Source organism: Homo sapiens, chromosome 1 (genome assembly GCF_000001405.40).
Source record: "Homo sapiens chromosome 1, GRCh38.p14 Primary Assembly".
Taxonomy (NCBI): domain Eukaryota; kingdom Metazoa; phylum Chordata; class Mammalia; order Primates; family Hominidae; genus Homo; species Homo sapiens.
This window is the reverse complement of record NC_000001.11, coordinates 244542239-244561531: the sequence shown is the minus strand read 5'-3', so window position 1 is coordinate 244561531 and position 19293 is coordinate 244542239. Positions and strand designations below refer to the sequence as shown.

General features: G+C 38.5%; 1 protein-coding gene across 23 annotated transcripts in view; it reads right to left on the bottom strand.

The window, feature by feature from the left end:
• CATSPERE (catsper channel auxiliary subunit epsilon) overlaps positions 1-19293 on the bottom strand; it is a 189263-nt gene that overhangs the window by 78973 nt on the left and 90997 nt on the right. For all 23 annotated transcript variants that reach the window (XR_001737095.2, XR_001737096.2, XR_001737099.2 and 20 more), the window contains 2 exons: positions 8718-9210; positions 387-864 (listed from right to left, as the gene is read on the bottom strand). Coding sequence is in view for 20 of the 23 variants with exons in the window: in XM_011544138.3 (XP_011542440.1) it covers positions 387-864; positions 8718-9210 (971 nt within the window). In the remaining 3 variants the exon portion in view is untranslated. The remainder of the gene's footprint in view (positions 1-386; positions 865-8717; positions 9211-19293) is intronic.

Below are 19293 nucleotides of genomic sequence, written 5' to 3'. Positions count from 1 at the left end.
CAGAACTGTGAAGTCATACATTTATGTTGTTTTAAGTCATCCAGTTTGTGGTACTTTGTTACGGGAGCCCCAGGAAACGTAACACAATACCACAGCACCTCCTACACCCTACGATGTATATATAAATTGCTTAGTTAGAATCTACTGATTGACCAAAATGAAACTCCCCTCTCCCCGGCAAAAAGAAATTGAGTTTGCCCTTTTGCTATGTGAGATCATAGTTAACATTACTTGTATTTAAAGTCAATTCATTTGTAGGTGATAAGAAGTGCACCTTTGGCTGCCAAAAACGCCACACATTGGTACATTAAAAAGTGTTACATCATTATAAGGAAGATGTCTATAGTGAAATCTAGAATAATGTTAGTGGACTGAGAATGCCTTACCTATGAAAACTTCATGAATAATGCTGTCATTTGATAGCATTGATAGATTTCCATGTCCTGCAGGTGTCTGTAAAATCCCAGTAAAGGTGAAATTATGGTAACAATAGTAGATACTATGCTTGTTCCATAGCAGTAATCCTGGCAGTGCTGAAAATGTAAAATGTGGCATGGTAACACTGTCAATAGGGGCATCTAATGTAAAGTCTTGGGAAACCCACTGTTTTGTATCTTCATTATATATCACTAAGAAAATCTTTTTGGTGACGTTACATACAGTGCAATAATTTAAAAACACAGCAATCTCCAGAGGGTGTCCTGTATACTCAACCCTGTCTATGGTCAGAGTAGCAGTCACCGATAGACTTAGGATGTTTTTCAGTTCTGTGGTAGTTACTAATCTGGCAAACTTAAGAAGAATGGATCCGAGGTAAATTTCATTTTCTGTCCAGACTGCAAAGGTGCTTCTTCTTCCTTTAGCCTGTGACAAAATGAAAAATGATGAGAAAGATCTTCGATTTTAGAGACGGGCCTAACAATTTCTCTTTTTTAAAATTTAAATTTTATTTTTTATTTTTTTAAATTTTCTTTCAATAGGTTTTTGGGGAACAGGTGGTGTTATATGAATAAGTTCTTCAGTGGTGGTTTCTGAGATTCTGGTGCACCCATCACCTGAGCAGTGTACACTGTACCCAATGTATAGTCTTTTATCCCTCACCCCACTCCCATCCTGCCCCCCCACCCCCGCCCAAGTCTCCAAAGTCCATTGTATCATTCTTACGCCTTTGTGTCCTCATACCTTAGCTACCAAGGTCTAACAACTTCCATCTTCTAATTTGCTACATTTAAAATACAGAGACCAGGTGTGGTGGTTTCATGCCTATAATCCCTGCACTTTGGGAGGCTGAGGCAGGAGAATCACTTGAAGTCAGAGGTTTGAGACCAGCCTGGGCAACAAAATGAGACCCCATTTCTACAAAAGTTAAAAACTAGTTGGGGGTGGTGGCGTGTGTCTGTAGTCTCAGCTATTTGGGAGGCTGAGGTGGAAGGATCACTTGAGCCCAGGAGTTCAAGGATGCAGTGAGCCATGATCATGCCACTGCACTCCAGCCTGGGTGACAGAGCAAGACCCTGTCTCTAAATAAATAAATAAATAAAAATTAAAGGTAGTAAATACTAAGGTTTGATTTGTTTCAATATATTTTTGAATAATACTTCAGGCATAGAAATATATTAAATAGAAATTGGTCATATTACATATAACCATAAAAATAAATTATCCCAATTATTTGTTTATAAATTGTTTCTATCGGTAGGACTAATAAATTTTAATTCCTTTTAAATCTTTTAAGCACATCAGCCTTCTCTTTGTGTATTTATCACTCTGGCCTGGAGTGTGCCTTTCACCTTGATGTTTACTAAGGTCAATATATAAAGTCTCTTCAAATATTAACTCATTTTTGGAATTCTAGATTCCTTGGTTATCAGATAAAGAGAAGAGAAACTTAAAGCCTTAGACAAATGAATTCTACCCTTTCATGGATATAGGCTGCTAGTATTCAGAAACTGCTGTGCCTGAAACTTGGTGGGCCTAATTTCATCAAGGAGTCCAAGGCCTCCCTTCTCCTCTGCCTCCTCTCCCCACTGTTTCTAATTTTTTGGGATTTTTACTTGAAATGTAATTTCTATGTACATGACAATCAAAAGGAATCTTTTGAAAACATCTTGTTGTCCTCATTTTACTTAATGTACAAATATTTAGTGTATACTGAAACAGGAGGTCGGCAGATATCAAACTGGTAACCAAAGAAAGACACAATTTGGGATAAAAGGTCATTTTGCTAAATGTGGATTCACGTTAAAGTATAGAACTTATGTTGCTGGAAACAATTCTTAAAGAAGAAATAGATTAGAAACAAAATGGTGAGCTATAGAAGAAACCCACAGCCATTCTCATTCTTGTCAGAGAGATGGGAAGAGGAACACGTCATAAACACGATAGATAAGAATTCCAAGGATTCCCAGCCAAGAAGTGAGTTTTCACTCTCACTCACAAACCCTTTCCCACGTAACTCCACTTAATGCTTCGGCATAATCGTGCAGGTGAGGTGAGAGATCCTTTTGAAGCATTCAAGGTCTCTTCAAAATGTAAGGTAGTAAGTCTTTGAAGGCAGGAAAGGGGCATCAAGCTGGACAAGTTGAGAGAAACCCATCCACACTCTGGATTCTCAGCTCTGTGACTAGGAGTGGGGTAAGGGAGTGGAGAGGAACTCTCCTTGAGCCATGTGTGGCCTCTACCCAGAGTGTAAAGCAGCTTCCCTGACAGAATTGGGACAGAGAAATAGGAGACAGAAGGAGAGGGAGAAGGAGAAGGAGAAGGAGAGGGGAGTGCAGAGTGGGCAGGAGGAGAAGGGGAGGAAGAGAGGAAGATACACCAAAATTCAGAGTCAGATGAGAAAGTAAAGTTAATTACCCAATGACCAAAAAGCTGGAAGCTAAGTTGTAAAGCAGAGATAGCTCTCCCAAGGATTTCGAAGGTTGGTGGCACCACTGTGAAGTACTAAGAGGTCTCTGGAATGTTGTCAGTGATAAGGTGCCCAGAATGTCTAAAGAGAAAATAACTATAATAAAAATGCTGAAGGTTTCAGTGGAAAAGATGGGCAACATAGTGAAGAGATGAGGAATTTCAGCCAAGATATAGAAATGATAAAAAAGGAACAAAATGGAAATGCTAGAAATAAAACAAAAATCAAGAATAAAGAAATAATTGGAGGAGTTTGAGACCAGCCTGGCCAACATGGCAAAACCCCATCTCTACTAAAAATACAAAAATTAGCCATTAGCTGGGCATGGTGGCACGTGCCTGTAGTCCCAGCTACACGTGAGGCTGAGGCAGGAGAATCAACTTGAATCTGGGAGGCGGAGGTTGCAGTGAGCTGAGATTGCGCCACTGCACTTCCAGCCTGGGCAACAAGAGTAAAACTCCGTCTCAAAAAAAAAAAAAAAAAAAGAGAGAGAGAGAGAAATAATTGGGCCTGGGCATGGTGGCTCATGCCTGTAATCTCAGCACTTTGGGAAGCCAAGGTGCGAGAATTGCTTGAGGCCAGCAGTTTGAGGCAGCAGTGAGTTTTGATTGTGGCATTGCACTCCAGCCTGGGTGGCAGAGTGAGACCCTGTCTGAAAAAAACTCAGATGCACTTACCAAGAAGCTGGAAAAAGCAGAGGAAAAAAGCAGTGAACATACAAGTGTATACAAGCTGAAATACAAAGGAAAAAACAGTGAAAAAATAACGAGCAGGTCATCTGAGATCTATGAGACAATATTAAATGGTCTCATACAGGTGTTTTTGGAATCCTAGTAGGAAAGGAAAAAGAAAATGAGGTTGAAGAAACATCTGAAGAGAAAATAGCCATTGACATTCCAAGATTAATGAAAGACATAAACCCAGAAATCCAAGAAACTCAATTGAACCTCAAGTAGGATAAATACAAAGGAAATAACATCTAGGCACATAGTAAAACTGCTGAAAACCAGAAAGAAATTTTCCAAGAACCTGGGAGATTTTATATATATATATATATATATATATATATATATATATATATATATATATATGAATATTTCAAATAAAATTATATATACATATATATAAATAAATATATAAAAGAATAAAATACTTAGGAATAAATTTGACCAAGAAGGTAAAAAATCTGTACACTGGAAACTATAAGATATTAATGAAGGAAACTGAAGAAACACATATAAATGGAAAGATATCTCATATTCTTAAATTGGAATAATTACTATTGTTAAAATGTCCATAATAATACCACCTTCTATAGACTCTGATTAACAGAGTCAATGTAATCTCTATCAAAATTCCAAGGGCATTTTTCACAGAAATAGAAAAAACAATCCTAAAATTCATATGGAACCATGAAAGACCCTGAGGAGCCAAAGCAATCTCGAAGAAGAACAAAGTTTAAAGCATCATAGTTCCTCATTTCAAACTACATTACAAAGCTATAGCAATCAAAACAGTGTAGTACTTGCTGAAAAATAGACACATAGGCCAACAGAACAGAATAGAGAATCCAGAAGTAAACCCATGCATATATAGCCAACTAATCTTTCTTAATAATGCAAAGAACACAATCCAGATAGAAGAGTCTCTTCAATAAGTGGTGTGGAGAAAAACAGGATATCCACATGTAAAAAAAAAATTCTTTTATGCTGTAATTAATAAAATTGCTTTCTTACTTTCTCTTTTGTATAGCTTGTTGTTAGTGTATAGAAATGCAACTAATTTTTTTATGTTGATTTTGTAACCTGCAGCTTTACTAAATTTATTTGTTAGTTCTAACAGTTTGGGGAAAAAAAGAGAAAGAAAAGGAAAAAAGAAGGTATAAAAATTGAAATTGTACTAGTTATTAAAATTAACTCAAAATGGATTAAAAACTTAATGTAATATCTGAAACTCTCAAATTCCTAGAAGAAAACACAATAAACCACCTTGACATTGGTCGATATGGTCTGGATCTGTTTCCCCTCCCAAATTTCATGTTGCATGTTATAACTTCTTCCAGTGTTTTACTTTTAGTCCACCTATCTCCTTATATTTAAAGTGGGCTTCTAAATAAAAATGTATAATTTGGTCTTTTAAAAAAAAATCCAATCTGACAATCTCTGCCTTTTAATTAGTGGTTTTAGACCATTTAGATTTAATGTAATTATTGTTGTGTTTAGACTGAGTTATACATTTTATTTTCTATTGTATCCTCAGGGTTTTGTTCCTCTATTTCCCTTTTCTGCCTTCTTTTGGATTTTATAATTTTTTTCATATTTCATTTTAGTTCATTGAATTTTTTACTCTATCTTGTATAAATTTTTTTAGTGGTTGCTATCAGGGTTACAATACATCCACTTAAATTTATATATATATATTCTTTAGAGAAAGTGTCTCATTCTGTCACCCAAGCTAGAGTGTAATGGTGTGATCACAGCTCACTGCAGCCTTGAACTCCTGGGCTCAAGCAACCTTCCCACTTCAGCATTCCAAGTAGCTGGGACTACAGGTGTAGGCCACCTCACCAGATTAACTTTTTAAATTTTTTATTTGTAGAGAACAGGATTTTGCTTTGTTGCCCAGGCTGGTCTCAAACTCCTGGCTTTTAGCAATCCTCCTGCCTTGGCCTCCCAAACTGCTGAGATTACAGGTGTGAACTATTCTACTCAGCCTTATCAGTGTTTTGTAGTCTTCCTTGCAGAGATCTTTCACATCCTTTGTTAAATTTATTCCCAGTTTTTTTGGTAGGTATTGTAAATAGGAGTGCTTTCTTGATTTATTTTCCAGCTATTTCATTATTAGTGTATAGAAATGCTGCTGATTTTTGTATGCTGATTTTATATCCTTCAACTTTACTGAATTTATCATTTCCAAGAAATTTTTTGTGGAGTCTTTAGGTTTTTCTAAATATAAGATCATATTATCTGCAAAAAGGGACAGTTTGAATTCCTCTTTTCCAATTTAAATGCCTTTTATTTCTTTCTCTTTACTGATTGCTCTGGCTAGGACCTCCAGTACTAAGTTGAATACGAGTGGTGAGGGTGGGAATCCTTGTCTTGTTTCAGTTCTTACAGGAAAGGCTTTAAACTTTAAACTTATATACTCAGTATGATGTTTACCTGTGGGTTTATTATATATGGCTTTTATAATTTTGAGGTATGTTCCTTCTATGCCTAGTTTGATTTTTTTTTTTTTTTTTGGGATGGAGTCTCGCTATGTCACCAGGCTGGAGTCAGTGTTACAATCTTGGCTCACTGTAACCTCTGCCTCCCGGGTTCAAGCAATTCTCCTGCCTCAGCCTCCCAAGTAGCTGGGACTACAGGCGTGTGCCACCACACCCAGCTGATTTTTGTATTTTTAGTAGAGATGGGGTTACACCATATTGGCCAGGCTGGTCTCGAACTCCTGACCTCATGATCTGCCCTCCTCGGCCTCCCAAAGTGCTGGGATTTCAGGTGTGAGCCACTGTGCCTGGCCAGTTTGTTGAATTTTTATCATGAAGGGATGTTGAATTTATCACATGCTTTTTCTGTATCTATTGAGAGGATCATATGGTGTTTGTCCTTCATTCTGTGGATGTGATGTAACACGCTTATTGATTTGTGTATGTCAAATTATCCTTACATTGCTGGTATAAATCCCATGGTGTGTTCTGGTTTTGATGTGCTATTTGATTCAGTTTGCTAGAATTTTTTTTGAGGGTTTTTGTGTTTTATGTGCATCAGGAATATTGGCCTGTAAGTTTTCTTTTTTTGTGTTGTGTTCTTCTCTGGTTTTGGTATCAGGGTAAGGGTGGTCTTGTAGAATGAGTTAGGGATAATTCCCTCCTCTTCAATTTTACAACTTAATAGTTAAAAAAAATCCCATTTAAAAGTGGGCAAAGGTCATGAACAGATATTTCTCAAAAGATATACAAATGGCCAACAGGTATGTGAAAAAACAGTTAACATCACTAACCATCAGGGAAATGTAAATCAAAACCACAATGAGATATCATTTTACCCTGTTGAATGGCTATTATTGTTATTTTTTATTTTCTAAATTTTATTTTATTTTTAGAGATGGGGTCTCACCATGTTGCCCTGGCTGGGGTCTCACCATGTTGCCCAGGCTGGTCTCTAACGCCTAGGCTCAAGTAATCATCCCACCTTGGCCTCCCGAAGTGCTGCAACTACAGGTGTGAGCCACCCTGCCCAGCCTGGCAATTATTAAAATGACAAAAATAGATAAATAAATAACAGATGCTGGCAAGGAGGCAGAGAAAAGGAAGCTCATATACCCTGTTGGTGGGAATGTAAATTAGTACGACCGCTATGAAAAACAGTATGGAGGGTTCTCAAAAAACTAAATATATAACTACCATACAATCCAGCATTCCCACTACCGGGTATTTATCAAAAGGGAAAGAAATCAGTAAAATCAGTATATCAAAGGGACACCTGTACTCGCAGGTTTATTGCAACACTATTCACAATAGCAAAGACATGGAATCAACATAAGTGTACATCAATGGATGAGTGGATAAAGAAAATGGGTTATATATACCCAATGGAATACCATTTGGCCATAAAAATAACAAAATCATGTTTGCAGCAATATGGATGGAACTGGAGGTCATTATTGTAAAGTGAAATAAGCCAGGCACAGAAAGACAAATACTACATGTTCTCACTCATATGTGGAAGGTAAAAACCATGATCTCAAGAAAACAGAATGGAATGATAGATATTAGAGTCTGGGAAGGAGAGGGGTGCGTGGGAGGGAGTATAAAGAGAGGCTGGTTAATACGTACAAATATACAGTTAAATAGAAGAATAAGTTCTAATGTTTTATATCTAACTAACATACAGTTCGATAGAAGAAATAAGTTCTAGTGTTTCTAGTCTGTCTATAGTCAGACCAGGGTATCTACACTTAGCAACTATATATATATGTATGTGTGTGTGTGTGTGTGTGTGTGTGTGTGTGTGTGTGTGTGTATTTTTTTTTTTTTTTTTTTTTGAGACGGGGTCTCGCTCTGTCGCCCAGGCTGGAGTGCAGTGGCACGATCTCGGCTCACTGCAAGCTCCGCCTCCCGGGTTCACGCCATTCTCCCACCTCAGCCTCCCGAGTAGCTGAGACACCCACCACTACAGGCACTGTAGGCACCCACCTACAGGCACCCACCACTGCGCCCAGCTAATTTTTTGTATTTTTAGTAGAGACGGGGTTTCACCATGGTCTCCATCTCCTGACATTGTGATCTGCCCGCCTCGGCCTCCCAAAGTGCTGTGATTACAGGTGTGAGCCACCGCGCCCGGCCAGCAACAATATTTTTAACATTTCAAAGTAACTAGGAGAGAGGAAATGATACCAACACATAGACACAGTAAACACTGAAGGAGACGGATACCCCGAAGACCCTGACTTGATCATTACACTTTCTATGCAGGTAACAAAAACTCATTATTCATTTTGGGCAGCTCATATAATCTTTGTTTGGGGAAAATAATTTTTGGGTCTTTTGCCCATATCAAGGTAAAACAAAGCTCTCATGACTGAACTACATAATAACATACAAGATTAATTTTATTTTTAGTTGTTGGGGGTGTATCTCTACTGTAAAGAGGTCTCTGAGAAGTTGAGTTAGAGCTGTTTACAGCCTTAGATAAAACAACTGGGCAAAGAGCTGCATAGTAAGTCTCTGTTTATCACTGAGTAAATGGTATGGTAAATACCTTTGTAAAATATAAATATATTTATAAAATATAAAATATCTTTTACTAACCTTTAATAAATAATTGACCCAACACCATTTTCTTGATGAAATGCCAGTAATTCCACCATCAGGAAGATTTACAATTCCTCCCAGTCTTATAAATCCACGAAAACTCTTTATGTAAAGAACACCATTTATAAGAAAAACGATTCCATCCCGCGATAAGATCACATGAGCCACACTCCGTCTTTCATCATCACTCAGAATGTCTGGAGGCACTCTGATTCTGGTCCAAGATTTGAATGAATCAGTTGTGTGAAAGGTCTCCATATCTGTCACCAAAACAGCAGATGCAACTACACAAGCATCCCAGGAAGCCATTAATTGACTACCACGTGGTGAGGAGATTGGTAAATAACCAGGAATTTCAGGTATGGTCAACAAAGGAAAAGTCAACAGAATAAGAAAATCTGCAATAAAGCAATCCTGAAAAGTAACTTGGTTTCCTCTAATCTCCTTTAGTGCATCATCTTTTGTCATTGGTACTACAATACGCCAGGTCCTAAGAAGAGAAAGAAAAGAGAATAAAATGATCTCTCTCTCATCTGATCCATCTTGTACAGTTGATATCTATCATCTTTAAAACATTTTTAATTTTTATCAATACAAATCTGGATAAGACAAATAATATTAAAATGCAACCACTGCCACATTGTCATTCTTCACTCTGGTCCCAAAGGAACACAATCTTGACTCTTGCAGCTGTTTCTGTCTCTGTATTCTCAAGTAAAGATTCTTTTTTTTTTTTTTTTTTTTTTTGGAGACAGAGTGTCTCTCTGTCGCCCAGGCTGGAGTGCAGTGGTGCGATCTGGGCTCGCTGCGAGCTCTGCCTCTCGGGCTCATGCCATTCTCCTGCCTCAACCTCCTGAGTAGCTGGGATTACAGGCACCCACCACCACGCCTGGCTAATTCTTTGTATTTTTAGTAGAGATGGGGTTTCACCGTGTTAGCCAGGATGGTCTCAATCTCCTGACCTCGTGATCCGCCCGCCTCGGCCTCCCAAAGTGCTGGGATTACAGGCGTGAGCCACCGCGCCTGGCCTCAAGTAAACATTCTTATATGCTCTTTCTTAATACATAATTTTTATACATTATCTATTACCTTCTTTTTTCTCTTTTATTACTGCTGCTTGTGGAGCAGGGCTAACTCCTAGGCAGTGTACCCAGAGCCAGCCCTATTGCCTTCTTATATGGCAGATGAAGATGTATCTCTCATGTACCATGCCTACTTATACATCTTCTCTCCACCTCTCAAATTAGTTATATTAACTTTTTAGTTAAATGAATAGAGTGTTTATATTGTTTAGATTTACTGTGTAAATACTGCTTACTATTGAACCAGTTCTACTATGAGTATGTTTTCTTCTCTCTACATACATACATATACATAAATTTTCCTGGAGTTAATACTTGTTTTGTTTAAAATTTTTGGTTAGTTTTCCAGAAGGTAGTTAAAATAGCATTTTATAATATTTTCCATGTGATAAAGGCAGAGATAATCCAGTACTTGTTTCCTGGGGTTTCCCTTCATTACTGTCTCTCTTAGCCGCCATTTACAGGATCTCATGCTTTGATCTTTTCTGTTATGCTAAAGCACATTCTTTAGCACCTTCCTGTGAAAGGATGTATAAACATACATTTTTTGAGACCCTGAATATCTGAAAAGAGCTTTATTTTACACACCTGATGAATAACAGGTTAGGGGGAGGGCATTTTCTCCTGTCCTTTGATAATCAGAATCACTAATGAGAAAGTCAGGTGATAGATTCATTTTTATTATTTAAATGGTTGTCCTGTAAGTTTTTGGGATCTTTCTTTTTTCTTGCTAACCTAAAATTTGACAGGGCAGAGTCTATCTTTTGAAGTGGGAACATGGAGTAATTTATAAAAGCAAACACTCTGACATATCTTAGAAGTACTGAACATTTCTGAGCAGAGTTTCTCAGCTGGACAATCCAAATGACAGCAGGTTGAAAGATGTTCAGTCAGCACTGCTTGAGTCACTCATTTTCTTAATGAATACATACTTGGGTTGGTGATGATAACACTGTGCCCACTCAGCAGGACCCAGGTGAAGCGGACCTCAAGTTAGGGCAGTTGTAGAACTGTCACCAAACCTCTTATGCCTTAAACCATGCCAAAAAGAAACTCAGTGTAATTTCCACTTTTTGCAAGCCACATCACCTGGCTCTAACATTGGTTCCAATTACAATTTCTTAAATCACAGTATCATTTTGCTACATTGTCCACTGATTATATAATAACCTCACATATGCAGACACCTTGTAACTAGACATTTATGACTGTTTTGTTTGAATGGACAATTGGTTATCTACAGGCATAAACAGGACGGGACAGGGCAAACTGCTCTTTTTCAATTTTCCTTATCAATCATTTTGTTTCAAATTTTAATTTTTAAAACTGTGACTATACGCTTTTCAGAAATTTTTTGGCTTTCCACTGTATAGCATCCTAGTATATATAGTCTCTTATTTTTGTGAAGATGCTATTCATATTAGTAAGTGTTCTCCAGAGAATAGACTAGGATATATAGAAATAGACAAAGATTTATTATGAGTGGTTGCCTTTCACATGATTATGGAAGCTGAGAAGTCCCATGATTTGCTGTCTACTAGATTGGAGGCCCAGTAAAGCCAGTGGTGTAGTTCCAGTCCAAGTCCAAAGGTGTGAGAACCAGGAGAACCAACAGAGTAAGTCTCAGTCTCAGTCCAGAGACCCCAAAACTGGGGTGCCAGTGGTGTGAGTCCTGGTCCAAGTCTGAAGGCTTGAGAAGCAGGAATGCCAATGTCTGAGTGCAGGAGAAGATGGATGTTGCAACTCAAGAAGACAGCGTGCATTCGCTCTTCTTTTGCCCTTTCGTCCTTTTCAAGCCCTCAGTGGACTGCGTGATGCCCAACCACACTGGGGAGGGTTATCTTCTTTACTCAGTCTACCAATTCAAATGCTAATCTCTTCCAGAAATACTCTCACAGACACACCCAGAAATAATGTTTTACCAGCTATCCGGGCATCCCCTAGCCCAGTAAAGTTGATGCATACAACTAACCATTACAAGTCCATTCCTTGTCAACTTGGCACCCATAAGCATCTCAAAGTATCTCCAAATAAAGACAATAACAAGGTCATAATTGTACCTAACATGGTACAACTATCCTGCACAACAACTGAAAATGCACTACTCTTTTCTCCAGAAGAGGAGGTTAAAGTCCTTGAGTGATGTTTACTCTTCTCCCAATATTCTGTAACTTAAATTATATGGTAAAAAGTTAACAATACTTAAATACAAAGTTAATACATGTTATGTTACACAATAAGGGGATAAGAGAGGAAGGAAACAAATATATTTGTTTAATATATGTGTGTGTGTCTATATATATATATAGACATACACACAAATGTATTCTTAACAAAATAAGGAGGAAATACTCATGACAATTACATTCCTCATTTATGTAACTGGTTATGTGGTTATAGGCTGGTATTTATAGCTGACTTCCTCTGCTACCCATTGTGTATTACTTTTGCCTTCTGTGAGAACCTCAGCTGGTCATGGTTCTTTACCTGAGGGATAACTCAAATCTCCATTCCTAAAGTGTCTGGGCCATTTGTAGTTTTGGCTGGAATGGGTTCTTATAGTTTTCCATTGGCCTTAATCACAGAGCATGGTAATACTAGGAGATGCATAAGGGATCTCCTGTATTTCAGACATAGTCTGCCTTATCTCCATTGTGGAATAGTAGTCCAGCTTCCCCTCGGTAGTCTGGATAAATCACTCCAGCAAATACAGTATCTCCTGTCTTTGCCTGTTGACTCAGAGCCATGAGGAGCCCAAAGTGGTGAGGTGGTAGGCCAGCAGAGCATGAAGTCCTGGGAACAGGAGGCACAAATTTGCTAATAGGTCTCTAGGGATAATAGTGAGTGGTGCCACTCCCATTTCCACCCAGACTCCTGGAGTTGAGAATCCTGGCAATCAGAAAAACAACACCATATATTAGGCATGATTCAGAGCATATACAGCCTTCTGGGGAACCTTGCTCAGCCGTTCAAGGTATTGCCACCTGGGGTCACTGTAATTGAGTTTTCAAAAGACTGTTTCACTATTCTATCATGCCAGCTGGAGAACATGGTAAGACCAGTGAATTCCAGGAGCATGGATCCAGTGCTGTCTTCTCTTGCTTTGAAAAGAAATGCTTTGTGAAATACCATGAGAGTGGATAAGATATTCTGTAAGTCCATGGATGATAATTATGGCAGAAGGATTATGTGTAGGGAAGACAAATTCATATCCAAAGTAAGTGTCTATTCCAGTAAGAACAAAACACTGCACTTCCATGATGGAAATGGTTCAGTGTAGTCAGCCTGCCACCAGGTAGCTGGCTAATCACCACACAGAATGATGTCATATTGGGGGTCCACTGTTCATATCTGCTGCTGGCAGACTGGGTACTCAGAGATGGCCATAGCCAGGTCAGCCTTGGTCAGTGGAAGTCCATGTTGCTGAGCCCATGAATAACCTCAATTTCTGCTACCATGGCTACTTTCTTTCATGCGTGCATTGGGTGATGACAATGGTGGCTGGAGAAACAGGCTGACTGGAATCCACAGAATGGGTCATCCTATCCATTTAATTGTTAAATCTTCTTCTGCTGACATCACTCTTCAGTGATCATTCAGATGGGATACAAATATCTTCACAATTTTTGCACATTCAGAAAGGTTTATCTGCATACTTCTTCCCCATATTTATTCGTCACCAATTTTCCAATCATGTTCTTTTGAAGTACCTAATCATCCAGCCAAACCATTGGCTGCAGCCCATGAATTGGTATATAATAGCATGTCTGGTCATTTCTTCTTCTTCCATCCCTTTACTTTCAGTTTATGTGTGTCCTCACAGGTGAAGTGGCAGCTTGTAATTGGGTCTTATTTTTCAGTCCAATCAGCCACTCTATGTCTTTCGAGAATTTAATCCACTTACATTCAATGTAATTCTACTTCCATTTTAAAATTGTTTTTTAGTTGTTTTATAGATCTTTTCTTCCTGTTTTACTATCTTTCTTTTGGCTAAGAGATGTTCTCTAGTAGTATGATTTTATTCCTTCCCTTTTATTTTTGTGAATCTATTACAGGTTTTTGCTTTGTGGTTACCATGAGGCTTACACATAACATCTTATAGTTATAATAGGTTATTTTGAGCTAATAACAACTTAACTTAGATTGAAATTTTTCTATATTTTACTCTACTCTTCCTCACAATTTACAATTTACATCTTTTTATATTGCATATACCTTAACAAATTATTGTGGTTGTTATTTTTAATAGTTTTGGCTTTTAACCTTTATACAGTAAGTGATTTACAAACCATCATTACAGTATGAGAATATTCTAAATTTGACTTATTTTTGCCACTGGTTTTATACTTTCAGATGTTTTCATATTACTCATTAGCATCCTTTTCTTTCAGCTCAATGCACTCCTTTTAGTATTTCTTGTAAGACAGGTCTAGTGGTGATAAACTCCCTCAGATTTTGTTTGCCTGTGAAAATCTTCATTTTTGAAGGATGGCCTGCCGAGCACAGTATTCTTGGTTGGCATTTTTTTTATTTAGCACTTTGAATATGAATATATCATCCCATTCCCTTCTTGCCTGTAAGACTTCTGCTGAGAAGTCTGATGCTAGGTGTATTGGAACTCCCTCATATGTTATTTGCTTCTTTTCTCTTGTTGCTTTCAGGATCCTCTCTTTGTCTTTCATCTTTGACAATTTGATTACAATAAGTCTTGGGGTAGTCTTATTTGGATTGAATCTGACTGATGACCTTTAATCTTTATGTACCTGGATAATTATAATTTTCTGCAGGTTTCAAAAGTTTCCTATTTCTTTAAATAAACTTTCTACCCCACTATATTTCTCTACTCCCTCTTAAACCCCAATGACGTAAGCATTTGCTATTTTGATGCTGTTCCATAAATCCCACTGGCTTTCTTCATTCCTTTCATTCTTTTTTTCCATCATAACTGTATATTTTCAAGTAATCTGTCTTCAGGTTCACAGATATTTTCTTCTCCTTGATCAACTGGCTGTTGATGCTCTCTATTGCATTTTTCACTTTGTTCACTTATTTTTCAGCACTTGCATTTTTGTTTGATTAAAAAAATCAATCTCTGTTAAATTTATCATTCTGATCATGTATTGTTTTCTCATTTTGTTGAACTGTTTCTCTGTATTTTCTTGAAGTGCACTGAGCTTCCTTAAAACAGTTATGTTGAATTATTTGTCAGACAGTTCATACATCTCTATCTCTTTAGGGCCAGTCATTGGCACTTTATTTTGTCCATTTGGGGACACCATATTTCCCTGATTTTTCTTGATCTTTCTGGTCATGCATTGATATCTGTGCATTGAAGTAGTAGATATTTATTCCAATCTTCACAGTATAGTTTTGTCTGGGAAAACAATTCAACAGTAAGCCTGTCCAGAGATTCTAGGTGGGTCAGCTGGTGTGGCCCACAAACCTATGACCATGGCAGCCACTGAAACACTGGGGGGCACCTTAAGCCCAGGACCATCACAGTTGGTACAGCACCAAGCTGGAAACTCTTGGCCACTGAAGATGGTGTAGTGATGGGGTGCATCTGAAGTCCACAGCCTCTAAGATCTGCCTGCTGCTGAGGTTTCTCCAAAACCCAAGGCCTCTGTAGTCAGCTGGCAGTGATGCAGGCCAGAGATTGGGTCAATTCCCCTTAGCATTCTGCTTCAGGGGTGCCCAGAAAGGGTCTATGTTCCTATAGCTGTCCACTTTTTGGTGCTGCTGCATAGCATGCAAAGCCATCTGTAAACCAGGCCCAAATCTTCTTTTCCTCTGTTAACTCATTGTAGGGAATGCCCCATGAGACCATAGGTGCAAATGGGGAGAAAGAAGACAGTGTAGCAGTAGTAGGAACCATGCAAATTTGGGCCACTTCCCCTAAAATTTACTTGTCACTTGAGGGCCTGTTAGGGCCCAATCATGTATATACCACTTCAATCTGATAATGGAGTATTGTGTTGCTGTGCATGTCCAACATTATGACTCACTGGGTCAAGTAACAGTTCATGATGGACAGCTAGGGTTGCATGGTAACTTGTTGGCCCATGATCAAGCATTCGGTCTCTGCTAAAGCCCAATAGTAGGCCAAGAATTGTCTCCTAAAAGGAGAATAGTTATCCAAGGATGATGAAAGGGCCTTTCTCCAAAATACAAAAGGAGTGTGGTTCAATTTACCTATAAGGGCCTGCCAAAGGCTCTACATAGCATCCCTATCTGCCACTGACATCTGCTAGATCAAATGGCCCAAGTGGCAGAGCAGTCTGCACAGCAGCCTAGACTTATTCTAGAGCCTTCTCTTATCCTGGGTCCCACTGAAAACTCACAGCTTTTTGGGCTACCTGGGAAATGGCCCAGCATAACAATCCCAAATGAGGAATATGTTGCCTCCAAAATCCAAAGAGGCCCATTAGGCATTGTGCCTCTTTCTTGGTTATAGGAGGGGCCAGATGCAAACAAATTAACCTCACCTTAGAAGGGATATCCTGATAGGTCTCATGCCACTGGACTGCAAGAAATTTCACTGAGGTAGAAGGCCCCATATTTGAGTTGGATTTTTTCTTCACTCTTTAGCTTGTGAATGTCCTACCGATATATCTAGGGTCACTGCCACTTTTGCTCACTATGTCCAATCAACATAATGTCATCAATATAATGGACCAGTGTGATATCTTATGAAAGGGAAAGGTGACCAAGATGCTTCCAAACTAAATTATGACATAGGGCTGGAGAATTGATATACCCTTGAGGTAGGACATTGAAGGTGTATTGCTGGCCTTGCCCATGGAAGGTAAACTGTTTCTGTTGGGCCTCATAGACAGGGATGGAAAAAAAAGCATTTGCCAGATCAATAACTGCAAAACATGTAGCAAGGAATGTGTTAATTTGCTCAAGCAATGAAACACATCTGGTACAGCAGCTGCAATTGGAATTACTGCCTGGTTAAGCATATGACAACCCACTGTCCACTGATCCATCTGTCTTCTGCACCAGCCACATAGATAAGTTGAATAGGGACGTGGAAATCATACCATCCCTGCATCTTCTAGTTTCTTGATGGTGGCACTAGTCTTTGCAATGCCTCCAGGAATTCAGCACTGCTTTTGATTTACTATTTTCCAAGGTAGAGGCAGTGCTAATGGCTTCCACATGGCCTTACTCACCATAATTATCCTCACTTCACAGGACAGGAACTAATATGGGGATTCTGTCAGCTGCTAAGTATTATCCCAAGTATACATCCTAGAACTGAAGGAAGAATCACAGCATGGGTTTGGAGACCACTGGATTCACAGTGAGATAGGCCTAAGTTAAAACTCCATTGATCATCTAACCTCCATAAGCCCGCATTCTGATAGAGGCCCATGGTGACATTTTGGATCTCCTGGAATCAGTGTCAGTTCAGAGCCAGTGGCCAGTAATCTGTGAAATGTCTGATATTTCCTTTTTTCCCCAATGTACAGTTACCCTGGTTAGAGGCCACAGGTCCCTTTGAGGTAGGCTGGGAAAAAGATTAACAACATAAATTTTTATGGTGTATAAAGGTCCTTCCTGAAGAGGATGCAGCCACCTCTTTATTTAAGGGCTTTTGGGTCTATAGACAGGCTCAAGTCTGCTACACACTTTTTTTTTTTTTTTTTTTGTATATTTTGTGTGAAGTTTTCTTTTGCTCCCTGCTTTGTGCTGTTTCTTCTGATTTCCATTTTTCTGGTATTGAGTTAGGTATCTGACTTTCATGTTGTAGGCTTTCTGTAATTTTCTGGTGGTCCTTCACTGTACACTAATATTTAAGAGAGGAGCCATGACAAGGTGTGAGTTAGCTTTATCACTGAGCATATGACACCTCTTGCTTCCATTGTGACCCACTATGTTTCTCCCCTCACCTCATAATATAAGTTCTTTTAAGTAGGTCTGATCAGTTAATCCAAAGAAGAATCCTCTCTTATCTTGTCAAGAGGATATATATTTCCATATTTAGGGAGGAGGGCTGGAAAAAAGGGCTGAATGCACACTGGGGAGTTCCTACCATATTACTATTTTATTTTTATTTTGTATATATATAAATATATATATATATTTAAAATAAAATTTAAAATAAAGATAAAATACATATATATTACTGTTATTGACTATAATCACCCTGATACACAATAATCTGACAACTTACTCCTCCTGTAAATCTGAACTTTTGTACCCTTTGATTAATACTTCCTCCTTTTCACACCCTCCCCCACCTTAGCTCTGGTAACCATCATTCTACTCTCTACTTCTACGAGGTCAACTTTTTTAGCGTTTTCATATAAGTGAGATCATACAGTATCTGTCCTTCTATGCCTGGCTCATTTCACTTAGTGTTATGTCCTTCGGGTTTCCCTATGTTGTTGCACGTGACAGAATTTCCTTCTTTTTAGAAGGCTGAATAGTATTCCACTGTGTGTATATATATATCACATCTTCTTTATCCATGCATCTTCTGATGGACACATAGGTTGTTTCCATATCTCAGCTATTGTGAATCAGTGAACACGGGAATGCAGATTATCCCTTCCACAGATTGATTTCCATTCCTTTGGATACACACTTAGAAGTGGGATGGCTGGATCCCACTGGTAGCTGTAGTGGATTGCTGGTAATTCTATTTTGAGTTTTTTGAGAAACTTCCATACCATTTCCCATAATGGCTATATTAAATTATATTCCCAACAACAACGTACCAGGGATACTTTTTATCCACATCTTTACCAATACTTCTTATCTTTTGTCTTTTTGATAAAAGTCACTCTAATAGGTATGAGGTGATACCTCATTGTGCTTTTAATTTGCATTTCCCTAATGATTAGAGATGCTGCACTTTTTTTCACATACCTATTGTATTGTTGTTTGGAATCTGTAGTTGGGCAGGGCTGCATGCTGGGATCTAAGGCTAGGTGAGGTCTACAAAGTGGACAGGGCCAGAGGCTATGCTCCACACATATGCATTGGCTGAGCTTATCTTTAGATCCAGGGTAGTCTTATACACCATGGTATACTATGCAGCCATAAAAAAGAATAAAATATGTCCTTTACAGCAACATAAAGGAAGCTGGATGCCATTATCTTAAGTGAAATAACTCAGAAACAGAAAATCAAATACTGCATGTTCTCACTTATAAGTAAGTGGGAGCTAAACAACAGGTACACAAGGACATAAAGATGGAAATAATAGACAGTGGGGACTCCAAAAAGGGACAGGGTGGGAGGGGAGTGAGGGTTAAAAAATTACCTATTGAGTACAATGTTCACTATTTGGGTAATGGGTACACTAGATGCCCAAATATCACCATTACTCAATATATCCGTGTAACAAACCTACACACATACACCTTGAATCTAAAATTTAAAAACAGAAAAGCACAGCATCAAGGCGTGGTAGAGTCGCCACTCAGCTGTTGGTGTTGTGTGAGGCCAGATACTCCCTATGCAGCTAAATGCTGACC